This window comes from Homo sapiens, chromosome 2, assembly GCF_000001405.40.
Source record: "Homo sapiens chromosome 2, GRCh38.p14 Primary Assembly".
NCBI classification, from domain to species: Eukaryota; Metazoa; Chordata; class Mammalia; order Primates; family Hominidae; genus Homo; species Homo sapiens.
This window is the reverse complement of record NC_000002.12, coordinates 55,185,092-55,211,287: the sequence shown is the minus strand read 5'-3', so window position 1 is coordinate 55,211,287 and position 26,196 is coordinate 55,185,092. Positions and strand designations below refer to the sequence as shown.

Here is a 26,196-nt window from a genome sequence, read left to right as displayed (position 1 = left end):
CCTTGTGATCTGCCCATCTCGGCCTCCCAAAGTGCTGGGATTACAGGCGTGAGCCACTGCACCTGGCCTAGATTCACTTTCAAATATAAAATTGTGACTAGCAAATGACGAATAAGATACATATTAATAAGTACAGTATAACTGACAAATTGGGACTAAGTGCTGAGAAAATTCTGGGTAAGGGACTGGTTAAAATTAAGTAGAATCAATGCAGGTAAGTTTCTGGGGGAGGAGTATTTTGTGATATGTACTAAAGTCAACAATTGGCCCAGATGAGAAAGGAGGATTATTTAGGGCTGGGCACAGTGGCTCATGCCTGTAATACTAGCACTTTGGAATGCTGAAGTGAGAGGATCTCTTGAGTCCAGGAGTTTGAGACCAGCCTGGGCAGACCCTGTGAGAGCCTCTCTCTCTCTCTCTATATATATATCTACATATTTTTTAAAGGCATTTGAAGAGAAAGAGAGAGAGTTATGAATAATAAGTAGACGGGAGAGTGAGAGAGAGGACTGAAGATTTGGCAGGCATTTATATTTTGTGTTGAGAATAATAAACTGATTACTCTGGGGTTAGCTATAATAGGGTAATGAGAGATTTGTTTAGAGAGAAATCTGTTGACAAATCCTGAATTGTTAGGCAGAAGCTCGTGGCGTTACTGAGTAACAGTGATATTTACGGGTCTTCAGGGTGTGTTAATGAAATCACTAAAAAATTTTTTTTCAGATGCTAAGGTTTATGTGTTCTCAGTCTTCACCGAGTCTTCATTGATAATGTTTAAAACTGCTAGCCTGAGGCTGGGTGTGGTGGCTCACACCTGTAATCCCAGCACTTTGAGAGGCCGAGGCGAGCGAATCACTTGAGGTCAGGAGTTCAAGACCAGCCTGGCCAACATGGTGAAACCCCATCTCTACTAAAAATACAAAAATTAGCCGGGCATGGTGGCAGGCGCCTATAGTCCCAGCTACTCAGAAGTTGAGGCAGGAGAATTGCTTGAACCTGGGAGGCAGAGGTTGCAGTGAGCTGAGATTGCACCACTGCACTCCAGCCTGGGCGACAGAGTGCGACTCCATCTCAAAAAAAATAAAAATAAAAATAAAATAAAATAAAATAAAATAAAACTGCTAGCCTGGCCTGGCACAGTGGCTCACGCCTGTAATCCCAGCACTTTGGGAGGCTGAAGTGGGCAGATTGCTTGAGCCCAGGAGTTTTAAGACTAGCCTGGGCAACATAACAAGACCCTGTCTGTATTAAATAAATGAATAAATAAATAAATAAATAACCTGCTAGCCATTCACAAGTTTATGCTAATTTTACTTATGTTCAGTAAGCTATAAGTACATACTATCATTTCTAAATTGTTTCTTAACATAGTGAACTGTCTTTCTAAGACTTGCTCTTTGAGCACAAGCGTCCCACACATGGCTTGTCGTGTTTGATTTGTTCCCTTTCCCCATAGGCATGACTCTTCAAGAATCCATGAATCTAGATGCTCTCACTAAATACATGAAACATCTTGAAGATAAATATGCAGAAATTAAACAAGCTATGTTGATAAAATATGTGCCAGCTCAGAGGAAGGCTGATTTAGATGAAGAAATGATTGTGTTATTAAAACGGCGAGATGTAGCTGAAAATCTGAACAAAAAATTGCAGTTTTGGTATGGAAGTTGATTATATGTTTTTAAAGTTTGGAGTTTTATTTGTGTTTATTCTAATATTCCACCATTTGATTTTAGGCTCAGTGTGTTATTGACGTTTTTTATCTTTTTAGTCATCAAAGACTGCAGATAATTTCACAGGCACTTAGTTCATGGGTAAAATCTGATATGAGCAGCCCATTTCAAGACTTTGTGGAGCAAATTCAGAAAACCAAATATTTACAAGGTAGATTATCTATATTTTTAAATTAGTACCAATAATGGAAGACATTTTTTTCGCTAGCTAGTTAGAATGGGGTTTTCTTAGGCTGAGTTTAAATAAAGCAAGATCATACTTCAGCTGGTTGTCTGTTACGCTATGGGTTTCTTCCTTCAACAGCTAACAGATAATTAGTAAAGAATAGACTTGGTGAGCCAAAGACAGAATGCCTGAAAATGTACATCAAAATAAAGAGGAGGCCGGGCACGGTGGCTCATGCCTGTAATCCCAGCACTTTGGGAGGCTGAGACGGGCAGATCACGAGGTCAGAAGATCGAGACCATCCTGGGTAACACAGTGAAACCCCGTCTCTACTAAAAAAAATACAAAAAATTAGCCGGGTGTGGTTGCAGGCACCTGTAGTCCCAGCTACTCGGGAGGCTGAGGCAGGAGAATGGTGTGAACCCGGGAGGCGGAGCTTGCAGTGAGCCAAGATAGGGCCACTGCACTCCAGCCTGGGTGACAGAGCCAGACTCCGTCTCAAAAAAAAAAAAAAAAAAAAAAAGAGGAAAGGGACGGGGAGGCCACTAAGTTTAGGAAGAGGTTGCTGCTGTTAGGAGCCATAGCAATAAGCTGTTGGTATTAAACACATGTATGTTTATTGTTTTCTATTGGTAAGTAACCTTAAATATCTTCCAGTAGTACTTTCAATATTTACAGGTGACCAAGGCATTGTTGAAGAACTAATGGAAGATGATCCACGCAGGGCAAAAGAAGCTGAAATTATGCTTCACTACATTGAAAGGCAAATATTTTAAAAGCTTTAATTTTTCAGAATTATATTTTTTCATAGATTCTTTGTGAATAACATACCAGATTGGGAATCTAGGAGATTTTTCAGAGGAGATAAGAGGATTATAATGTTGATATGTTTTATTTATACAGGTTAAGCATTCCTAATCCAAAAATTTGAAATCTGAAATGCTCCAAAATCCGAAAAATTTTGAGCACTGACATGAGATAGTGATACCTCTGTTTTGTGATAGATCAATATGTACACAAATTTTGTTTCATGCACAAAATTATTAGAAATATTATATAAAATTGCCTTCAGGCTATGTGTATATGGTATATATGAAATATAAATTTTGTGTTTAGACTTGGATCCCATCCCCAAGATATCTCATTATGTACATGCATATATTCCAAAATATGAAAAAATCTGAAATCCAAAACACTTCTGGTCCCACGCATTTAGGATAAGGGAAACCCAGCCTGTATTTTTCTTACATTTCCTAGCTATCAACCTGATGTTACAAAATGTTTTTGAGAATGTCTTCCTGATTCAGATTATTCTAGCCAATTCAGTCCTTTCTTTCTCATTACTTCTATCCCCTGACTTATTAAGGAGGCATATTTCTCCCTAATACTTAAGTTATTATACATAGTATATAAGATTAAAGAGATTTAAGACTATATTCTTTTTTACTTTGTTTACTTTTTATCAAACATTACTTTCATCAAATATTTCAAGTATACATAAAAATACAGACAATAACATTAACAAAATGTTATTCTGTGTACCAACTTAGCAAGAAATTAACATTTTGCCGTATTTACTTCAGCTCTTTTTGTAGAAGTTTGTTACAGTTGACATCCTACTGTGTATCATTCCTGCTATCTTCAATTCCTTTTCCCTCCTTTTTTCCCCTCACAGTTGCTCCCCTGGTGTTTAACATGCAGGAGCATTTTTAAACATTTTTAATACATAGTAAGACTATATTCTTTAAGAGGTTAATTCATAGGCTATGACGCTTATCTGTAATGAACATATGTAATATTCCTGGTCTTTATATGTTAAACAGTTTTCAACTGTTAATTGGATTGTTGGTATGGTAAAAAGAAGGGGGTAAATATAATTTTGGGCAGAGCACAAAAGCTCATGTTATTTCCTTACACTGTAATGCTTCTGTAAGTCTGACAGTTTGATATGAGAGAAAAACCCTTGTTGAGATTGAAAGTTTTATGTATTTTGCTTAATATTACTTTAGTGGGTTTTCCGCCTGGGGCTCCACATTCATTTGCAACACTGTGTAACTTCTGTTTATCATAGTTTTATTAATTGTGAGGTAAGGACTGATTTGAAGACCTTTTGCCATAGGAAGAGGAGTAGAGGCTTAAGTTATCTTAACTATTATCTTTCCTTCTTGTGCTAATCTTCGATTGGGAACCTGTTGCCTGGCAGAACAACATAGGCTTCTGAATACCAAGGACACCTCTTGATCTCCAGTTTGGCAGCTTCATTTTTTTTTTTTTCAGACGGAGTCTCACTCTGTCGCCCAGGCTGGAGTGCAGTGGCACAATCTTGGCTCACTGCAACCTCTGCCTCCCGGGTTCAAGTGATTCTCCTGCTTCAGCCTCCTGAGCAGCTGGGACTACAGGCACATGCCACCACGCCTGGCTAATTTTTTTTTTTTTTTGTATTTTTAGTAGAGACAGGGTTTCACCATCTTAGCCAGGATGGTCTCGATCTCCTGACCTCGTGATCCCCCATCCTCGGTCTCCCAAAGTGCTGGGATTACAGGCATGAACCACCATGCCCGGCCCAATTTGGTAGGTTCTATCTTCAATTAATATTTCCTTTAGGCGATGTTTCTAAGCAGATTGCCCTTCTTTCCTCTGATGCCAGTACTTTTTCATGTGGAGATGATATGCAGGGAAAAAAATCTGAGTTCATAATAAATTCAAGTTCTTTCTTCCATCCTCTATGGCTTGCTGTAAGTGCTATAGGAATAAAGTTTAGGATCATGTTCAAAGTCAGCTAGCAGGTGGGAGTTTTATTCTGAGACTTAAAAAAAACCCAACAGAGTACTAGAGAAGGATTTCAAGGAACATCTTACAGTGTGAATGATTCTAGTTATAGTTTATTAGAATTCCTTTTTGTTTTTCCATATCGTTATGCCGCTATATTTAGTCTGTATTAAACATTTCTAATCAGTTTTTTCTCTTTTTCTTTGTGTCATTATAATGCATTTTAAAATGTGATGGCTATAGGTTTAATGAGTTAATCTCACTTGGTGAATATGAAAAGGCAGCTTGTTATGCAGCAAACAGTCCTAGAAGAATTCTTCGAAACATTGGTACAATGAATACATTTAAGGGTAAGCATTTCTCTCTGAACCTTATATATGTATGAAAATTTACTACTTTTTCTCTCATAAAATAGAAAAAGCATTAAACTGGGAGACTAAAGATCTAGGCCCCAGCCCTATCTCTACCATTTACTCAGTTTGCTTAGCAGTAACATTAGGGATTTGATTAGATTTTCTAAATTACATTATGAACGATTTTAAGTATACAGAAAAGTATGGAGAAACATTAACACCCATGTACTCACTATCAAGATTTAATAAATGTTAATACTTTGTCAAATTTGCTCCACATCCTTTTAAAACACAGCTTCCTTGTGGTAAATTGACATAATACAACAAATTGTACATATTAAAGTACACAATTTGGTAAGTTTTTTTTTTTTTGAGACAGAGTTTCATTCTTGTTGTCCAGGCTGGAGTGCAGTGCACAGTCTTGGCTCACTGCCACCTCTGCCTCCCAGGTTCAAACGATTCTCCCGTTTCAGCCTCCCGAGTAGCTGGGATTACAGGTGTGTGCCACCACACCCATCTAAATTTTTTGTATTTTTAGTTGAGACAGGGTTTCCCATGTTGGCCAGACTGGTTTCAAACTCCTAACCTCAGGCAATCCACCTGCTTTGGCCTCCCAAAGTACTGGAATTACAGGTGTGAACCATCGTGCCCAGCCCAATTTGGTAAGTTTTGACATATGCATACACCCATGAGATTATCACTCAAAAGTTCCCTCATGCCCCTCAGTATCCCTCTCTTCCTGCTACTTCCTAGTTCTCTCGCCCTAATTTATTTTACTTAGGATAATGGCGTTCAGTTTTATTTTATGGCTGAGTAGTATTCTGTGGTGTGTGTGTGTGTGTGCGTGTGTGTGTGTGTGTGTGTGTATTTTCTTTATCCAATCATCCCTTGATGGACACTTAGGTTGATTCTCTGACTTTGCTATTGTGAATAGTGCTGTGATAAACATAATGAATGCAGGTGTCTTTTTCATATAATAGTTTATTTTCCTTTGGGTAGATACCCAGTAGCGGGATTGCTGGATTGAATGGTAGTTCTATTTTTAGCTCTTTGAGAAATTTCCATACTGTATTCCATAGAGATTGTACTAATTTACATTCCCACCAAAAATGTAAAAGCGTTCCCTTTTCTCCACATCCTCTCCAACATCTGTTGCCTTTTGACTTTTTATTAATAGCCATTCTGATTGGTGTAAGATGGTATCTCATTGTGATTTTGTAGTTCCCTGCTTTGTAGATTTCCCTGCTTTGGGCAGTATGGCCATTTTAACAATTTAACTATTTTTTTTAACCCATTAAACAGCCCAACTCCCCCACCCAACTCCCCTACTACCCTTCATAGCCTCTGGTAACCATCCTTCTACTGTGTTCATGAGTTCAATTGTTTTTATTTTTAACTCCACCAACAAGTGAGAACATGTGAAGTTTGTCCTTCAGTGCCTGGCTTATTTCACCTAACATAATGACCTCCGGTTCCATCCATGTTGTTGTAAATGATAGGATCTCATTCTTTTTTATGACTGAATAGTACTCCATTGCCTATACGTACCACATTTTCTTTCCATTTGTCTGTTGATGGACACTTAGGTTGCTTCCAAATCTTGGCTATTGTGAATAGCACTGCATTAATCATAGGATTGTTGATCATATGGTATAATCATAGGATTGCTGGATCATATGGTAACCCAAGTTTTCATTTTTTGAGGAACCTCCAAAGTGTTTTCCGTAGTGGTTGTACTAATTTACATTCCCACCAACAGTGTACAAGGGTTCCCTTTTCTCCACATTCTTGCCAGCATTTCTTATTGCCTGACTCTTGGATAAAAGCTACTGTTTTAAGTGGGCTGAGATGATATCTCATTGTAGTTTTGATTTGTATGTCTCTAATGATCAATGATGTGGAGCACATTTTCATATGCCTGGTTGCCATTTGTATGTCTTCTTTTGAGAAATGTCTATTCAAATCTTTTGCCTTTTCTTTTTTTGACAGAGTTTCCCTCTTGTTGCCCAGGCTGGAATGCAATGGCGTGATCTCGGCTCACCACAACCTCCGCCTCCCAGGTCCAAGTGATTCTCCTACCTTAAACTCCCTAGTAGCTGGGATTACAAGCATGCACCACCATGCCCAGCTAATTTTGTATTTTTAGAAGAGATGGGGTTTCATCATGTTGGTCAGGCTGGTCTCTAACTCCTGACCTTAGGTGATCCACCTGCCTTGGCCTCCCAAAGTGTTGGGATTACAGGTGTGAACCACCTCACCTGGCCATCTTTTGCCCATTTTTAATCAGATTATTAGATTTTTTTCCTATGGAGTTGTTTGAGCTCCTTATGTATTCTGGTTATGAACTCCTTGTTAGGTGGGTAGTTTGCAAATATTTTCTCCCATTCTGTGGGTTGTCTCTTCACTTCGTTGATTGTATCCTTTCTGTGCAGAAGCTTTTTACCTTGATGTGATCCCATTTGTCCATTTTTTTCTTCAATTGCCTGTGCTTATGGGGTATTATGCAAGAAATTTTTGCCGAGACCAATGTCCTGGAGAATTTCCCCAATGTTTTCTTGTATGGTTTCATAGTTTGAGGTCTTAGATTTAAATATTTAATCCATTTTGATTTGGTTTTTTCTATGACAAGAGATAGGGGCCTAGTTTCATTTTTCTGCATATGGATATCCAGTTTTCCCAGCACCATTTACTGAAGAGACTGTCTTTTCCCCAGTATATGTTCTTGTCACCTTTGTCAAAAGTGAGTTCACTTTAGGTATGTGCATTTGTTTCTGGGTTCTCTATTCTGTTCCATTGGACTGTGCATCTGTTTTTATTCCATTACCGTGCTGTTTTGGTTACTATAGCTCTGTAGTAGAATTTGAAGTTAGATAATGTGATTCCTCCAGTTTTGTTCTTTTTGCTTAGGATGGTTTTTGGCTATTCTGGGTCTTTTGTGGTTCCATATAAATTTGGGAGTTGATTCTTCTATTTCTGTGAAGAATTTCATGGTATTTTGATAGGGATTGCATTAAATCTGTAGATTGCTTTGGGTAGTATAGACATTTTAACAATACTGATTCTTCCAATCCATGAATATGGCATATGTTTCCATTTTTTGTGTGTCCTCTTCAGTTTCTTTCATCCGTGTTTTATAGTTTTAATTGTAGAGCTGTTTCAGTGCTTTGGTTAATTCTAGAGCTGTTTCAGTGCTTTGGTTAATTCTAGGTATTTAATTTGTGGCTATTATAAGCAGGATTACTTTTTTAAATTTCTTTTTCAGATTGTTTGTTGTTGGCATATAGAAATGCACTGATTTTTATATGTTGATTTTGTATCTTTCAACTTCACTGAGTTTATCAGTTCTAATAGTTTTTTTTTTTTTTTTTTGAGATGAGTCTCACTCTGTCACCCAGGCTGGAGTGCAGTGGTGCAATCTCAGCTCACTACAACCTCTGCCTCCCAGGTTCAAGTGATTCTCCTGCCTCAGCCTCCCGAGTCGCTGGGCCAACAGGTGTGCACCACCATGCCCAGCTAACTTTTTTGTATTATCAGTAGAGACGGAGTTTTGCCATGTTGGCCAGTCTGGTCTTGAACTCCTGACCTCAAGTGATCAGCCCGCCTTGACCTCCCAAAGTGTTGGGATTACAGGTGTTAGCCACCATGCTTGGCCTCTAATAGTTTTTTGGTGGAGTCTCTAGATTTTTTTCTTTTACTTTTTTTTTTTTTTTGAGACAGAGTCTCACTCTTGTCCCCCAGGCTGGAGTGCAATGGCGCGATCTCAGCTCACTGCAAACTCCGCCTCCTGGGTTCAAGCAATTCTCCTGCCTCAGCCTCCCGAGTACCTGGGATTACAGGCACCTGCCACCAGGCCCGGCTAATTTTTGTATTTTTAGTAGGGACAGGGTTTCTCCATGTTGATCAGGCTGATCTCGAACTCCTGACCTCAGGTGATCCGCACACCTCGGTCTCCCAAAGTGCTGGAATTACAGGCATGAGCCACCGCACCCAGCTAGGTTTTTTTTTTTTTTTCAAATATAAGATTACATCATCAGAAAACAAAGATAATTTAACTTCTTCCTTTCCAATTTGGATGCCCTTTATTTCTTTTTCTTGTCTGATTGCTTTAACTAGGACTTCCAGTACTGTGTTGAATACCAGTGGTGAAAGTGGGCATCTTTGTTGTGTTCCAGATCTTACAGGAAAGGCTTTCAGTTTCCTCCCATTCAGTGTGATTCTAGCTGTGGTTCTGTCATATATGGCTTTTATTAGTTGAGGTATATTCCTTCTATCCCCAGATTTTTTTCTGGTTTTTATCATGAAGAATGTTGAATTTTATTAAATGCTTTTTCAGCATCTCTTGAAATTATCATATGGTTTTTGTCCTTCATTCTGTTGATATAGGATACATTACATTGATTCATTTGTGTATGTTGAACCATCCTTACATCCCTAGGATAAATCCCACTTGGTTATGATGAATGATTTTTTTAATGTGTTATTGGGGTTTGCTAGTATTTTGTTGATGATTTTTGCATCAATGTTTATCAGAATTATTGACATGTAGTTTTCTTTTCTGATGTGTCTTTGTCTGGTTTTGGTATCAGGGTAATACTGGACTTGTAGAATGAGTTTAGAAGTATTTCCTCTGCCTCTATTTTTTGGAATAGCTTGAGTAGGATATGTATTAGTTCTTTTTTAGATGTTTGGTAGAGTCAGAAGTGAAGCCATCAGGTCCTGGGCTTTTCTTTTCAGGAAGACCTTATATTACAGCTTCAATCTCATTACTTATTGGTCTGTTCAGGTTTTGGATTTCTTCATGGTTCAATATTGGTGGGTTGTATGTGTCTTAAGAATTTATTCATTTCTTCTAGGTTTTCCAGTTTATTGGCATATAGTTGCTCATAGTAACCTATAAGGCTCCTTTGAATTTCTGTGGTATTGGTTGTAATGTCTCCTTTTTCATCTCTGATTTTATTTACTCAGGTCTTCTCTCTTTTTTTCTTACTTAGTTTGGCTAAGGATTTGTCAATTTTTTTTTTTTAAACTCTTCATTGATTTTTATAATTGTTTTCTTCATTTCAATTTCATTTATTTCTGCTCTGATCTTCATTGTTTCTTTTCATCTAAAAACTTTGGGTTTGGTTTACTCTTGCTTTTCTAGTTCTTTAAGATGCATCATTAGGGTGTTTATTTGAAGTTTTTCTTCTTTTTTGATGTAAGCACTTATAGCTATAAACTTTTTTCTTAGTACTGCTTTCATTGTTATCCTATAGGTTTTGGTATGTTGTGTTTCCATTATTGTTTGTTTCAAGAAATCTCTAAATTTCCTTGTTAATCTCTTCATTGACCTGTGTATGGTCAGTCAGGAGCGTATTGTTTAGTTTCCATATTTGTATGGTTTCCAAAATTCCTCTTCTTATTGATTTCTAGTTTTATTTCACTGTGATCAGAGAAGATGCTTGATATTATTTCAATTTTTTGAATGTTTTAATACTTGCTTTGTGGCCTAACATATGGTCTTTCCTTGAGAATGACCCATGTGCTAAGAAGAAGAATGTGTATTTTTCAGCTGTTGGGTGATACGTTCTGTAAACATCTATTAGATCCATTTTGTCTATAGTGCAGATCAAGTCTGATGATTCTGTGTTGATTTTCTGTCTGGATGATCTGTCCAGTGCTGAAAGTGAGGGTGTTGAATTCTCCAACTATTATTATATTGGGGTCTATTTCTCTCTTTAGCACTAATAATATTTGCTTTATGTATCTGGGTACTCCAGTGTTAGGGGCATATATATTTACAATTGTTATGTCCTCTTGTTGAATTGACCCCTTTATCATTATATAATGACTTTCTTTGTCTCTTTTTATAGTTTTTGTCTTGAAATCTATTTTGTCTACTTCTGCTCTTTTTTGGTTTCCATTTGAATGGAATATCTTTTTCCATTCCTGTGTTTTCAGTCTATATGTGTCTTTAAAGATGAAGTGTTTCTTGTAGGCAACAGATCATTGGGTCTTTTTTTTTTATCTACTCAGCCACTGTTTTTTTTTTTTTTTTTTTTAAGACAGTCTTTTTCTGTCACCCAGGCTTTAGTGCAGTGGTATGAACACAGCACACTGCAGTCTCAACCTCCTGGGCTCAAGTGATCCTACCATCTCACTCACCCTGTCAAGTAGCTGGGATCACAGGCATGCACCACCACACTTGGCTAATTTTTTAAATTTTTGTGGAGACAAGGTCTCACCATGTTGCCTGGGCTGATCTTGAACTCCTGGGTTCAGGTAATCCTCCTGCCTTGGCCTCCCAAAATGCTGAGATTACAGGTGTGAGCCACTGTGTCTGGCCCACTCTATGTCTTTTGATTGGAAAGTTTAGTCTGCTAACATTCACTTGATATTAAGTAAGGACTCACTCCTGTCATTTTGTTATTTTTTGGTTGTTTTATGGTCTTCTCTTCCTTCTTTCCTTCCTTCCTGTCTTTCTTTTAGTGAAGATGATTTTCTCTGGTGGTATGTTTGAATTTCTTGCTTTTTATTTTTTGAGTGTCCATTGTATGCTTTTTGATTTGAGGTTATCATGAGACTTGCAAATAATATCTTATAACCCATTATTATAAACTGATTACAACACTGATTGCATAAACAAATAAAAAACTAACAAGCAAAGAGAAAACTAATAAAAATTCTAGACTTTAACTTTGTCCCCTAGCTTTTTAATTTTTTGTTGTTTCTATCTATATCTTATTGTACTGTCAATGTCTTGAAAAGTTTTTGTAGTAATTATTTTTGATCAGTTCATCTTTTAGCCTTTCTACTTAAGATATGAGTAATTTACACACAATTACAGTGTTATAATACTGCCTTTTTTGTGTGAACTTACTATTAGCAGTGAGTTTTGTACCTTTAATTTCTTATTGTTCGTTAATATCCTTTTCTTTCTGATTGAAGTACTCCCCTCAGCATTTCTTTTTTTTTTTTTTTTTTTTTTTTTGAGATGGAGTCTCACTCTTTTGTCCAGGCTGGAGTGCAGTGGCATGATCTCAGCTCACTGCAACCTCCACCTCCTGGGTTCAAGCAAGTCTCCTGCCTCAGCCTCCCAAATAGATGGGACTACAGGTGCACCCTGCCACACCCAGCTAGTTTTTTGTATTTTAGTAGAGATGGGGTTTCACCATGTTGCCCAGGCTGGTTGTGAACTCCTGAACTCAGGCAGTCCTCCCACCTCGGTCTCCCAAAGTGCTGGGATTATAGGCATGAGCCACTGCACCTGGCCACCTCAGCATTTCTTAAGGGACAAGTATGATGTTGATGAAATCCCTCAGCTTGTTTGTCTGGGAGAGTCTTTATTTCTCCTTCGTGTTTGAAGGATATTTTTTGCCAGATATATTATTCTAGGGTAAATGTTTTTTTTCTTCAACATTTTAAACATGTCCTGCCACTCTCTCCTGGCCTGTGAGGTTTCCACTAAAATGTCTGCTGCCAGACATATTGGAACTCCATTGTATGTCATTTATTTTCTCTTGCTGCTTTTAGGATCTTTTCTTTATCCTTGACCTTTGGGAGTTTGATTATTAAATGCCTTGAGAGTCTTCTTTGGGTTAAATCTGCTTGCTGTTCTATAACCTTGTACTTGAATATTGATAGCTTTCTCTAGGTTTGGAAAGTTCTCTGGTATTATCCCTTTTTTTTGTTTTGGATTTTTTGAGACGGTGTCATGCTCTGTCACCCAGGCTCACGTGCAGTGGTGTGATCTCGGCTCACTGCAACCTCTGCCTCCTGGGTTCAAGCGATTCTCCTGGCTCAGCCTCCTGAATAGCTGAAACTACAGGTGTGCCACCATACCCAGCTAATTTTTGTATTTTTTAGTACAGACATGGTTTTGCCATGTTGGTCCAGCCAGTCTCAAACTCCTGACCTCAGGTGATCCACCCTCCTCAGCCTCCCAAAGTGTTGGGATTATAGGCGTGAGCCACCACACCCAGCCAGGTATTATCCCTTTGAATAAACTTTCTACCCCATCTCTGTCTTTCTACCTCCTCTTTAAGACCAATAACTCCTTGATTTGCACTTTTGAGGTTATTTTCTAGATCTTGAAGTTGTGCCTTATTCTTTTTTATTCTCTTTTCTTTTGTTTCCTCTCACTGTATATTTTCAGATAGTCTGGCTTCAAGATCACTAATCTGCTTGATTAATTCTGCTGCTGAGAGACTTTGATGCATTCTTCAGCATGTCAATTGCATTTTTCAACTCCAGAATTTATGCCTGTCTCTTTCTAATTATTTCAATCTCTTAGTTAAATTTTTCCGATAGGATTCTGGATTCCTTCTCTGTGTTATCTTAAATTTTGTTGAGTTTCCTCAAAACAGCTATTTTGAATTCTCTGCCTGAAAGGTTACATATCTTTGTCTTTCTAGGATTGGCCCTGTTACCTTATTTAGTTTGTTTGGTGAGGTCATGTTTTCCTGGTTGGTCTTGATGCTTGTGGCTGTTTATCTGTGTCTGGGCATTGAAGAACTGGGTATTTATTGTAGTCTTCACAGTGTGGGCTTGTTTGAACCTGTCCTTTTTGGGAAGGCTTTCCAGATATTGAAGGAGACTTGGGTGTTGTGATCTAAATTTTTGGTTACTGCAACCATATCTGCATTAGAGGTACCACCTTTGCGGTTTTGGATAAGATCCAGAAGAATTCTCTGTATTACCAGAGAATTCTTGTTCTTTTCCATTACTTTCTCCCCTAAAATGGAGTCTCTCCAAGTTGCAGTCCTTGTGATCTAGACTGCATCAAATCTGTGCTGAGCTGCCTGGAGCTGGAGAAGGGGTGGAACACAAGCACCACTGTGGTCACCAGCTCTGGGAATGTAGTAGGTCAGACCTGAAGCCAGCACAGCACTGGGTCTTGTCCAAGGCCCACTGTAATCACTACATGGCTACCTCCTACATTTGCTGAAGGCCCTAGGGCTCTACAATCAACAGGTGGTGAAGCCATCCAGGCTTGTTTTTTTTCCTTCATGGTAGTGAGTTCCCTAGGCCTGGGTGGCTCCAGAGATACCATCAGGAGCCAGGGTTTAGAGTTGGAAACTTTAGGAATCTACCTGGCACTGTTTTCTATTATGGCTGAGCTTGGACCCAGACCATAAGACAAAGTCCTTCCTATTTTTTCCTCTCCTTCCCGCAGGCAGAGGAGTCTCTCCCTACGGATAGCACTGCCACAGGCCCACAGGAAGTACTGCCAGGCTACCACCAATGTTCAGTCAAGGCCCAAAGCCTCTTCAGTCAGCTAGTGGTGAATGCTACCAGGCCTGAAACTCACCCCTCAGGGCAGTGGGCTCCCCTCTAGTTCAGGCTAGGTCCATAAATGCCATCCAAGAACGAAGTGCTGGAATTGGGGACCCCAATAGCCTGCTTGGTGCTCTTCCTCACTATGGCCAAGCTGGTACCTAAGCTGCAAGACAAAGTCTTTTTTACTCTTCTGCTTTTCTCAAGAAGAAGCTGATCACCCAGCTGATAGCCATTACAGCTGGGAATGTGCTGGGTCACACCTGAAGTCAGCATATCTCAGAGTCTTACCCAAGACCCACAGCATGTACTACCTGGCTACTGCTGCTGGTCATTCAGGGCCCAAGGGGCTGTTTAGTCAGCAGGTGATGAGTCCTGCCAGGATTGGGTCCTTCCTTTCAAGACAGTGGCTTCCCTTCTGACAAGTGTGTGTCTAGAAATGTTGTCCCGGAGTTTGGGGGGCCTGGAATAGGGGCCTCATGACTCTGCCTGGTTTCCTATGCTATTATGGCTGAGCTGGTATCCAAATTGCAAGACAAAGTCCTCTTTACTCTTCCATCTCCTCTCCTCAAGTGGAAGGAAGGACTCTTTTTCACAGTTGTGAGCTGCACTCTCTGGGTTGGGGGAGTGGTGGCACAAACACTCCTTCGGCCACATCATCTGATTTCTTACTAGGTAATATGCCTTCCAAGTCCACTGACTGTGAGTCCAGCACAGCACTAGTACTTACCTAGGAGTTGCAGTCCTTGTGGTGCAGACCGCCTTTCAAGTTTATTTAGGACCCCAAAGCACTTGAGCCTGTGGTGGTGAGGCTTGCCAGAACTCAAATTCCAACCTGCTGGGATAGATGATTCTCTTCTGGCTAGGGCTGGTCTAAGTGCTTCCTGCATGAGAATTGGCTGAGTTCTGCCTGATGTTGCTTTCCACTGTGGAAGGGTGGCACTGAGTTCGGATGCGAAGTCCTACAATCACTGCACTCTTCCTCCACCAAGCACAGGTTCTCCATGGCACGTGGCCACTGCCAAAGGATGGGGGAGTGGTGAGTTGGCAATTCAATACTGTCTTTCTACCCTCTTCAGTGCCTCTTTCAGTAACATGAAGCTATAATCAGGTGCTGTGACTACACAACTGATTTTTGTTCTTATGAAGGTGCTTTTTTGTGTAGGTAGTTTTTTTTGTTTTTGTTCTTTGTTTGTTTGTTTGTTTGTTTTTGAGACAAGAGTCTCACTCTGTCACCCAGGCTGGAGTGCAGTGGTGCAACGGCTCACTGCATCCTCCGCCTCCTGGGTTCAAGTGATTCTCCTGCCTCAGCCTCCCCAATAGCTGGGATTACAGGTGCCTGCCACCATGCCTGGCTAATTTTTGTATTTTTAGTAGAGATGGGGTTTCACCATGTTGGCCAGGCTGGTCTCGAATTCCTGACCTCAAGTGATCTGCCTGCCTTGGCCTCCGAAAGTGCTGGGATTACAGGTGTGAGCCGCCATGCCCGGCCATGTAGACAGTTAAATTTGTTGTTCCTGTGGGGAGGACAATCACTGGAGGCTTCTATTCAGTCATCTTGCTCTGCCTTCCTGGATATTTTAACAATATTAATTCTTCCAGTTCATAGCATGGCATATCTCTCCATTTATTTGTGTCTTCTTTAATTTCTTTCATCAGATACAACAACATGGATAAACCTGGAGCACATTATACTAAGTGAACTAAGCCAGGCACAGAAACACAAATAGTACATGATCTCATTTATATGTGGAATCCAAAAAAGTTGAATTCATAGAAGCGGAGAGTGGAATGGTGGTAACTAAGGACAGGGTAGGTGGGGGAAATAGGGAAATGTTGGTCAGAGGATACTAAGTTTGAGTTATGTAGGATAAATGCACAGCATGTTGACTATAGTTAATAATACTATATTGCATAATCGAAATTGCATAGCTAGGCATGGTGGCACATACCTGTAGTACCAGCTAGTTGGGTGGCTGAGGCAGGAGGATTGCTTGAGCCCAGGAGTTTGAGGCTGCAGTGAGCTATGATCACACCACTGTACTCCAGACTGGCGACAGAATGATACCCCATCCCCCAAAAAAAAGAAAAAAAAAAGTTGCTAAGAGAGTGGAGTGTAAGTGTTCTCAATACACATGCACAAACACACACACACACAGAGGTAATGGATATGTTAATTTAGCTTGACATATTAATCGTTTCACTATGTATATCAAACATCGTGTTGTAGACCTTAAATATATACAGATATACAGTTTCTATTTTTAAAAAAGAGATTTAAAAAAATTCAGTTGACTTTTGTATATTGGTCTTGTATCCTGTGACTTCGCTAAATCTTTGTTAGTTCTAGTACTTCTGTGGCTTTCTTAGGATGTTCTGTGTAAGTGATCATGTCATCAGCTAATAAAGACAGTTTTACTTTTTTTCAAATCTGGGTGACTTTTTTTTTTTCTTGCTTTATTGTACTGGCTAAATTCTCCAATACAGTTTTGAATAGAAGTGATAAAAGGAGATATTTCTGCCTTGTTCATGATCTTAGGGATAAAGCATTTAGTTTTTCATTATTAATTATTAGCTATAGGTTTTTCATATATGCCATTTATGAGGTTGAAGAAATTCTCTTGTATTCATGGTTGCTGAGAACTTTGATCAGAAATGGATATTAGATTTGTCAAATACTTTTTTTTTACATTTATTGAGAGGATTATGTTAGTTTTGTTCTTTTCTATTAGTATAATGAATATGTTGCCTTTGTGGGAAAAACTCCACAAAATTTAATGATTTTACTGTAATACAGAGTTGGGAAACCATTACCATAACCTAATTTTAGAACATTTTCATCATTACAAAAATAAACTTTGTACCCATTAACTCCTCATTCCCTGGCCTCTTCTTCCTCTCCAAACTGCAGGCAACCACTCATCTATTTGCTGTCAGTATAGATTTACCTGCTTTGGTCCTTTTGTGTGAATGGGATCATACACTATGTGGTCTTTTTGTTACAGGTTTCTTTCACTTAGCATAATGTTTTTGAGGTTTGTTCATGCTGTAGCATGTATCATTTCTTTATATGGCTAAATAGTATTCCATTGTATGAATGTACTGCATTTTGTCTATACATTCATCAGTTGATGGTCATTGGGCTTTTCCCACTTTTTGGCTATTATGAATAATGCTGCTATGAACATTTGTATACAAGTTTTTGTGTGGTTACATATTTTTATTTCTTTTAGGTAGAGACTTAGGAGTGAAATTGCCAAGCTAAATTATATGGTAGCTCTGTATTAACACTTTGAGGAATTGCTAATCTGTTTGGTTGCACCGTTTTCCATTCCTGCTAGTAATGTATAAGGGTTCCTTATGAACAGGGTGTGTTTTTATCTATCTTTTGATTATAGACTTTCTAATAAGTGTGAAGTGGTATCTCATTGTGGTTTTTATTTACATGTCCATAATGACTAGTAATGTTAGGCATCTTTTCACTTGTCTCTTGGCCATTTGTATGTCTTCTTTGGAGAAATGTCTGTCCTTTGCTCATTTGTAAATTGTGTTTTTTGTGTTTTTATTATTGAGTTTTAAGAGTTCCTTATATAGTCTGAATTAAAACCCTATTTGATACTTGATTTGCAAATATTTTTTTCCCAACTGTGGGTTGTCTTTTCACTCTTTTTAATTTAAAAAAAAAAGTGTTTCACTGGTTTCTTTTGAAGTTAAAAGTTTTTAATTTTGATAAGTTCCACTTATGAATTTTCTCTTTTATGGCTTTGCCTTTTGTGTTGTAGCTATGAAATCTTTGCCTAACTTAAGATCATAGAGATCTGTCCAGGCGCGGTGGTTCACGCCTATAATCCCAGCACTTTGGGAGGCTGAGGCGGGTGGATCACAAGGTCAGGAGTTCAAGACTAGCCTGGCCCAAGTGGTGAAACCCTGTCTCTACTAAATATACAAAAATTAGCCGCCGGGTGTGGTGGCGGGTACCTGGAATCCCAGCTACTCGGGAGGCTGAGGCAGGAGAATCGCTTGAACCCAGGAGGCGGAGGTTGCAGTGAGCTGATATCATGCCACTGCACTCCAGCCTGGGTGACAGAGTAAGACTCCATCTCAAAAAAAAAAAAAAAAAAAAGTCACAGAGATCTACTCCTGTTTTCTTCTAAGAGTTTTACACATTCAGATACATGATCTACTTTTGGTTAATTTTTCTGTATGATGTGAGGTAGGGGTCCAGTTTCATTCTTTTGCTTAAGGATAATCTGGTTTTCCCAGCACCTTGTTGGGAAAATACTTTGTATCCATTGAATTTTGACCTCTTTGTCAAAAATCAATTGACTATAAATATTTAGAGTTTATTTCTTGACTTTCAGTTCTATCCCATTGCTCTAGATGTCCACCCCACGCCAGTAGTATACTATCTTGATTACTGTAGCTTAGTAGTAAGTTTTGAAATCAGAAGAGTGATTCCTTCTTTCTTTAGATTAGTATTAGCATGGTTTATCTTCTTCAGTCCTCTAACTTTTAATCTATTAGTGTCTTCATATATAAGATCAGTTTCTTCTAAGCAACATATACTTGGATCCTACTTTTTAAAAATACAATTTGAGGCCAGAAGCAGTGCACCTGTAATCCCAGCACTTTAGGAGGCCGAGGTGGGTGGATCACTTGAGGTCAGGAGTTCGAGACCAGCCTGGCCAACATGGTGAAAACCTGTCTCTACTAAAAATACAAAAATTAGCTGGGCATGGTGGTGAGTGCCTGTAATCCCAGGTATTCGGGAGGCTGAAGCAGGAGAATCGCTTGAACCCAGGAGGCAAAGGTTGCAGTGAGCCAAGATCACACTACTGCACTCCAGCCTGGGTGACAGAGCAAGACTCCATCTCAAAACAACAACAACAACAGCAACAACAACAATCTGACAGTCTTTGCCTTTTAGTTGGGGTGCTTAGATTATTTACATTTAATGTTGTTGTTGACATGTTTGTTTTGTTTTTATTTATTTATTTTTAGAGTCAGGATTTTGCTATGTTGCCCAGGCTGGAGTGCAGTGGTTATTCATAGGAACAATCTTAGTGCATTACAACCCAAACTTCTGGACTCAAGGGATCCTCCTTCCTCAGCCTCTAGAGTAACTGGGAGTGCAGGTGTGCACCACCACACCACCACACTTCACTGGTGTGTTTTATTTTGTTTCCATTTCTCTTATCTCTTCTTTTTTTTTGAAACCTTTTTTCTACTTTTTCTGGCTTCTTTTGGATTAATTGAATATTTTTCTCCTTTGTTGACTTAGGAGCTATATAACTCATTATTGTCTTATTTTGGTTGTGCTGTAGGTTTTATAGATTGTATCTTTAACTTACTCCATTCTATTCTCAAGTGATATTATACCACTTGATGTATAGAATAAAAACACTACACATCTAAATACTTACATTCATAGCATATACCGTATCTATTCTTCATTTCTTTGTGTACATCTATTTTTCTGGCTGGGCGCAGTGGCTCACGCCTGTAATCCCAGCACTTTGGGAGGCTGAGGTGGGCAGATCACAAGGTCAGAAGTTCGAGACCAGCCTGGCCAACATGGTGAAACCCCGTCTCTACTAAAAATACAAAAATTAGCCATGCATGGTGGCCTGCACCTGTAATCCCAGCTACTTGAGAGACTGAGGCAGGAGAATCACTAGAATCCAGGAGGTGGAGGTGCAGTGAGCCAAGATCACTGCTCTCCAGCCTGAGTGACAGAGAGAGACTCCGTCTGCAAAAACATATGTATATTTTTCCATCTGGCATCATTTTACTTCTGCTAAAACTACCTTTAATCTTTTAGTGCAGATCTGCTGGTGACAAATTCATTCAGCTTTTAAATTCTACATTTTACCTTCGCTTTTGAAAGGTATTTTTACTAGGTATAGAATGCTAGATAGACTTTTTCTGTAGTTAAAGGATTTTGTTTCACTGTCTTCTGGTTTGCATTACTTTTGCCGAGAAATGTTATTTCATCTTTATCTTTGTACTTCCGTACATATGTGTCTTTTCTCTATGACTACTTTTAAGATTTTCTCATTTTTACTTTTTTTTTGGCACTTTGATTGTGAGTGTTAGTATAGTTTTATTTTCATGCTTCTTATGCTTGGAGTCCATTGAGATTCTTGGATCTGTGGGTTATGGTTTTCCTCATATATGAAAATACATAGCCATTATTTTTCAAATATGTTTCTGCCCCAGCCTCCCTTCTCCCCACTCACCGATTCAGGGATGTCAGTTATATGCCTGAAGTTGTCCTACAGCTCATTTATTCTTTGTCCAAGTTTTAGTCTTTTACATTTTATTTTGGATATTTTCTATTGCTGTTTTTAAATTGACTAATCTTCAGTATCTAATCTGCAGTTAATCCCATCCAGTGTATTTTTCATTTCAGACATTGTAGTTTTCATCTCTGTAACTTTGATTTGAGTTTCTCTTATATAGCTCATGTCTCTACTTAACATATTCCATCTTTCCTCTCCCTCGTAAGTGTGAAATAATACAGTTATAATAACTTTTAATATCCTTTTCTACAAATTCTATCATGTCAATTTTGATTTATTACATTTTTTTCTCAGTATGGGTAATATTTTCTTGCTTTTTTGCAAGTTAAATTTTTGATTGGATGCAAGACATTAAGAATTTTAGGCTGGGCATGGTGGCTCATGCCTGTAATCCCAGCACTTTGGGAGGCTGAGGCAGGTGGATCACGAGGTCAGGAGATCGAGACCAACCTGGCTAACATGGTGAAACCACGTCTCTACTAAAAAAATACAAAAAAATTAGCCGGGTGTGGTGGTGGGCGCCTGTAGTCCCAGCTACTCGGGAGGCTGAGGCAGGAGAATGGCGTGAACCTGGGAGGCAGAGCTTGCAGTGAGCCGAGATCACGCCACTGCACTCCAGCCTGGGCCACAGAGTGAGACTCCGTCTCAAAAAAAAAAAGAATTTTACCTTAATGGTGCTGAATTTTGGTAAACTCTTCTTAACCTTTGTTCTGGGATATAGGTAAGTTACCTGGAAGCAATGTGATCCTTCTGGAGCTTGTTTTCAAATTTTGTTAGGCAGGACTGGAGCAGTGTTTGGTTGGAAGCAAAACCCTTCTGAATATTCTACCTCATACCTGAGGATTATGAAGTTTGCCATTCTGGTGGAAGAGTTATTCTCAGCTATTTCTGAACTCTAGGGATTAGTCCCTCTAATCCTTCTGAATAGTTCTTTCCCTGGCCTTAGGTAGCTTCCTCACCGGTATGTGCTAATCAGTACTCAGCTGATGACCTGTGGGGAACGCTGTACAGATCTCTGAAGCTCTTACCCTAGGCAGCTCTCTTTCTTCTGGTACTCTGCCCTATGATCTTTATATGCATTGACCTCACCAGACTTCCAGCTCCGTGTCCTCAATTCAGGAACTCAGACTCTAACTGGCTTCTCCATCTTTGTACTCTGGCTTGGAAACTTTCTCCAGGCAGTAAACTGAGGCTATTGTTGGGTTCACCTTGATCTTTTTCTCCCATCTTTCAAGGATCACTATCCTTCACTGCCTTATGTCCAATGACTTGAAGGCTGTTATTTTATATATTTTATCTGGTTTCATGCCAGAAGCAAGAGTTTAGTTCATTTGCTATGACTAAACATAATTAACATAATAACTATTTAACAAAATTATTGATATATTTGGTCTTAAGCCTATCATTTTGCTATATTTTTCTCAATTATTTTCATCAGTTCTTTGTTCCTTAGTTTCTTCTTTTCAATCTTATATTGTGTTAATTGAGTAGTTTTTAAGAATTCCCTCTTTTCTCCTATCTTGGCTTTTTGGCTACACTTCTTTGTATTATTGTTTTAGTTGTTATTCTAAGGATTATAATATTCACTGCTTGCTAGAGTCTACCTTGAATTAATAATTTACTACTCTACATATAATGCATGAACCTTACCATCACCTTTCTTCTTTTGTGCTATTATCATATACATTGTTACTATTTTTGCCTTAAATATTCACTTGTGTCTTAAGGAAATTATGAAAATAAAAATATGTCTTTTATATTTACTGAGATAGGCAGCTGGATCACATCCTTGTAATCCACTGCACTTAAATGTGAATTGAATTATACTGCATATATTCTTTAATCCTGCATGTGTTCCTGAATTATACTATTGCTTATAATTATATTGTTTTATGTCTTTTTTTCACTCAACATTAGTTGTGAAATTTAGCCTTGTTTCTACATGTAGCTGTGGTTTATTTTAAATCTTCTAGATTGAAATGTACTACAATGTATTTATCTGTTCTGCGGTGGATTGACATGTAGGTGGTTTCTAGTTTGGGGCTATTATAAACAATTTTGCTATGAAAATATATCCTGGTGCATGTATGTAAACTTCTCTGGGATATGTATCTAAGATTGAACTCTCTGAGTCATAAGGTATGCATATCTTCAGCTTTTGAAGATAATAACAAACATTTTCCCAAAGTGTTTGTATTAATTTATATTCCCAATGGTAACGTATGCGATTTCCTATGTTCTATATCTTTGACAATGGTTGGTAGTGTTAGACCTTTAAATGTTTATCATTCTTGTGGTCATGTAAATTTATTATGGTTTTAATATGAACTTGCCTCATTACCAGTGAAATTGAGTATCTTTTCATATATATGTATACACATATACCCTTTTGTTAAGACAGGGTCTTGCTCTGTCACCTAGGCTGGAGTGCAGTGGTACAAACATGGCTCACTGCAGCCTCAACCTCCTGGGCTCAAGTGATCTTCCCACTTCAGCGTCTCTAGTCATTGGGACTACAGCTGTGAGCCACCACGCCTGGCTAATATTTAAAAATTTTTTGTACAGATGGAGACTTGCTATGTTGCCCAGGCTGGTCTCAAACTCCTGGCCTTAAGCCATCCTCCCACCTTGGCCTCCCAAAATGCTGGGATTACAGGTGTGAGCCACTGCACTCAGCTCATATATATCTTTGTATTTGGATTTCCCATTTTGTGAAGTACTTAAGATCTTTTGCCCATTTTGCTGCTGGATTGTCTATATTTTTCTCAATGATTTTTAGGAGTTACTTATGTATTATAAATATTAATCTTTTGTTAATTAAAATGAGTTACAAAAATCTTTTCTCATTATGATATCTTAAGATGAACAGAAGTTTTTAATTTTAATGTAGTGGAATTTATCAGTCTTTTCCTCTGAGGTTAATTATTTTTATGTATTATGTAAAAGTCCTTCCCTACCCTAAGTCATTTTTCTTTTTTCTCCTCTGAAAATATCATCGTTTTGCTGTTTACATTTGATTTTTAAGCTACCTGAAACTTGTTTTTGTGTTCAGTATGATTTGGGAGTTCAGTATTTTTCTTTAATAATTTTTTTTTTTGAGACAGTCTTGCTCTGTCACCTGAGCTGGAGTGCAGTGGCTTGATCTCAGCTCACTGCAACCTCCTCCTCCTCCCAGGTTCAAGTGATTCTTATGCCCCAACCACTGAGTAGCTGGGACTAGAGGCATGCACCACCACACCCAGTTAATTTTTGTATTTTTGGTAGAGATGGGGTTTTGCCATATTGACCAGGCTGGTCTGGAACCTCTGAGTCCAAGTGATCTTCCTGTCTTGGCCTCCCAAAGTGCTGGGATTACAAGCGTGAGCCACCACGCCTGGCCCAGTTTTATTTTATTTTATTTTATTTTATTTTATTTTATTTTATTTTATTTGAGATGGAGTTTTGCTCTTGTTGCCGAAGCTGGAGTGCAATGGCGCGATCCCGGCCCACTGCAACCTCTGCCTCCCGGGTTCAAGCGATTCTCCTGCTTCAGGAGTAGCTGGGAGTACAGGTGCATGCCACCATGCCTGGCTAATTTCTTTTATTATTTTTTTGTTGTTGTTTTTAGTAGAAACGGGGTTTCACCATGTTAGCCAGGTTGATCTCAAACTCCTGACCTCAGGTGATCCACCTGTTGCAGCCTCCCAAAGTGCTGGGATTACAGGCCTGAGCCACCGCGCCTGGCCTTATTTTTTTAAATATATAGTTTCTCTGTTCTAGTACTATTTATGTAAAGTCTGTACTTTCTCCACTAATTTGTAGTGCCACCTCAATGATCATATCTTTTGTTTCTAGAACATTTCAAATCTGCTTGTTTTAAAAATCTGTTCATCTTTATTATGGCTTCCATTTCTACCTTTAATATTTCTAATAATTTTAAACATATAATTTTTTTTGAGACAGGGTCTCACTCTGTCATCCAGGTGGGAGTGCAGTGGTGTGACCACAGCTCACTGCAGCCTTGACCTTCTGGGCTCAAGTGATCCTCCCACCTCAGCCTCCCAAGTAGCTCCCTATACTGGTGGGAGTATAGGCATACCCACCATGCCTGGTTAATGTGTTTTTGTTGTTGTTGTTGTTGTAGAGATGACATCTCACAGTGTTGCCCAGGCAGGTCTCAAACTTTTGGGCTCAAGCATTCCTCCCACCTTGGCCTCCTGAAGTGTTGGAATTATAGACGTGAGCCACTGTGCTGAGCCAGACATAGATATTTTATACTCTCTTTTATAGTCAGTTGTTTGTAGTTCTGAAGTATATAAATTCTCCAGATTATTGGGTATCCTAACTCATGCTCATGGATGTGCTTTGATTTGTGTGACTGATAATTTTTATTTATAATATTGTAAGCTTTTTACATTGATAATATTGTGAGCTTAATTTCTTCCCCACTGTGGGATTACTGTGTATTCTCTGGAAAGGCTTTATGTTTGTCTCTGCCTGGTCTCTAATGTTTCAACAGCCTGAAGCTGATCTTTGTTAATTTGTTGGCTTTGACTTCCTGAATCACATACATAACTGAAATTCAGACTTCATTCCCCTGTGGATGTAGGTTGTTTTATTTTATCTAAGGAGAGGGAAAGATATAGCCAGGAATAGTAGTCCATGTGAGCCACACTGTCATGTTTTCAGAGTCTTAGATCTTTAAAGGCCCATCTCAAGTTTGATAGCTTAGAATCAATTAAAATTACTTAAATCTTAAAATACTTATTTTTTAGACAATTGCTTTCTGTTTTTAAAAGTTTGTATAAAACCTAGTTTTTAAGACATATTAAAGCTCAAAGATATCATTGGTAGAAGCAGAACTTCTAATAAAATAATGTTCACAGCAGTATTTTCCTATAACATTTTCAGAAAATTTTAATAAATAGACTGTTTTTAACTGTAGATTAAACTGTTATGACCTAGGTACTAAGATACAAAGATTAGTAAGACCCAATCCTTTCAATGAGATAAAGGACTAATTGGGAAGAGAGATAAAGAGGCAGACAAGTGTGGAGCCAGCTCATTCATTTGTTTATTCATTTACTCTTCATTCAACAAAATTGATTATCTAATATGTGCTGGGCATTGTTCTAGGTGCTGGGGATACAGCAGAAAATGAAACCTGCAAAAATGATTTGCATCACGGAGCTTACATGTAGAGTGATTCTAGTGATATGAAGAAAGTTCTCTGGAAATTCAAAAAAGGCATATTAATAGTTTGGTATTTCTACCCTCAACTGTGCCTGTTGTCTTCATGTAGACACCTTTTGTTTTATCTTTTTCAGAGAATAAGCCTCAGCTTTTTCTAGGTCCTGGAAGGGGGTATCATCTGACTGGGTGAGGAATAGCTTTTTAAATAGCCTTTCAGCCATGATTTCTAGTTTTAGCCCATCTCATTACAGAGGTTCCCGGTGCTGGCAATTCCTGAGACTTTCTGTGTTGTTTGGTGTGAATTGGATAGCTTCTTCTTGGTTTTCCTTATTGGTAGTTTAGGAATCAAACTTTTAAGGCTCTGCGTCTGCTATGCTAGTTTCTACTCTCTATTTTCTGGCTTTCAGAATTTTGTTATTTCCTTTTAAATTTATTCTTATGAAATC

General features: G+C 38.6%; 1 protein-coding gene across 17 annotated transcripts in view; it reads left to right on the top strand.

The window, feature by feature from the left end:
* The window catches only part of CLHC1 (clathrin heavy chain linker domain containing 1), a 60,017-nt gene that overhangs the window by 21,276 nt on the left and 12,545 nt on the right, over positions 1-26,196 (top strand). For 6 of the 17 annotated variants that reach the window (NM_001135598.2, NM_001353782.2, NM_001353784.2 and 3 more), the window contains 4 exons: positions 1,457-1,658; positions 1,772-1,884; positions 2,578-2,662; positions 4,912-5,018. The exons of 3 other annotated variants lie outside the window; for them this stretch is intronic. In NM_001135598.2, the coding sequence (NP_001129070.1) occupies positions 1,457-1,658; positions 1,772-1,884; positions 2,578-2,662; positions 4,912-5,018 (507 nt within the window). Of the gene's footprint in view, positions 1-1,456; positions 1,659-1,771; positions 1,885-2,577; positions 2,663-4,911; positions 5,019-5,559; positions 5,684-26,196 lie in introns of all 17 variants that reach the window. 8 more of the 17 variants (NR_148538.2, NM_001353787.2, NM_001353780.2 and 5 more) reach the window with 3 other exon arrangements.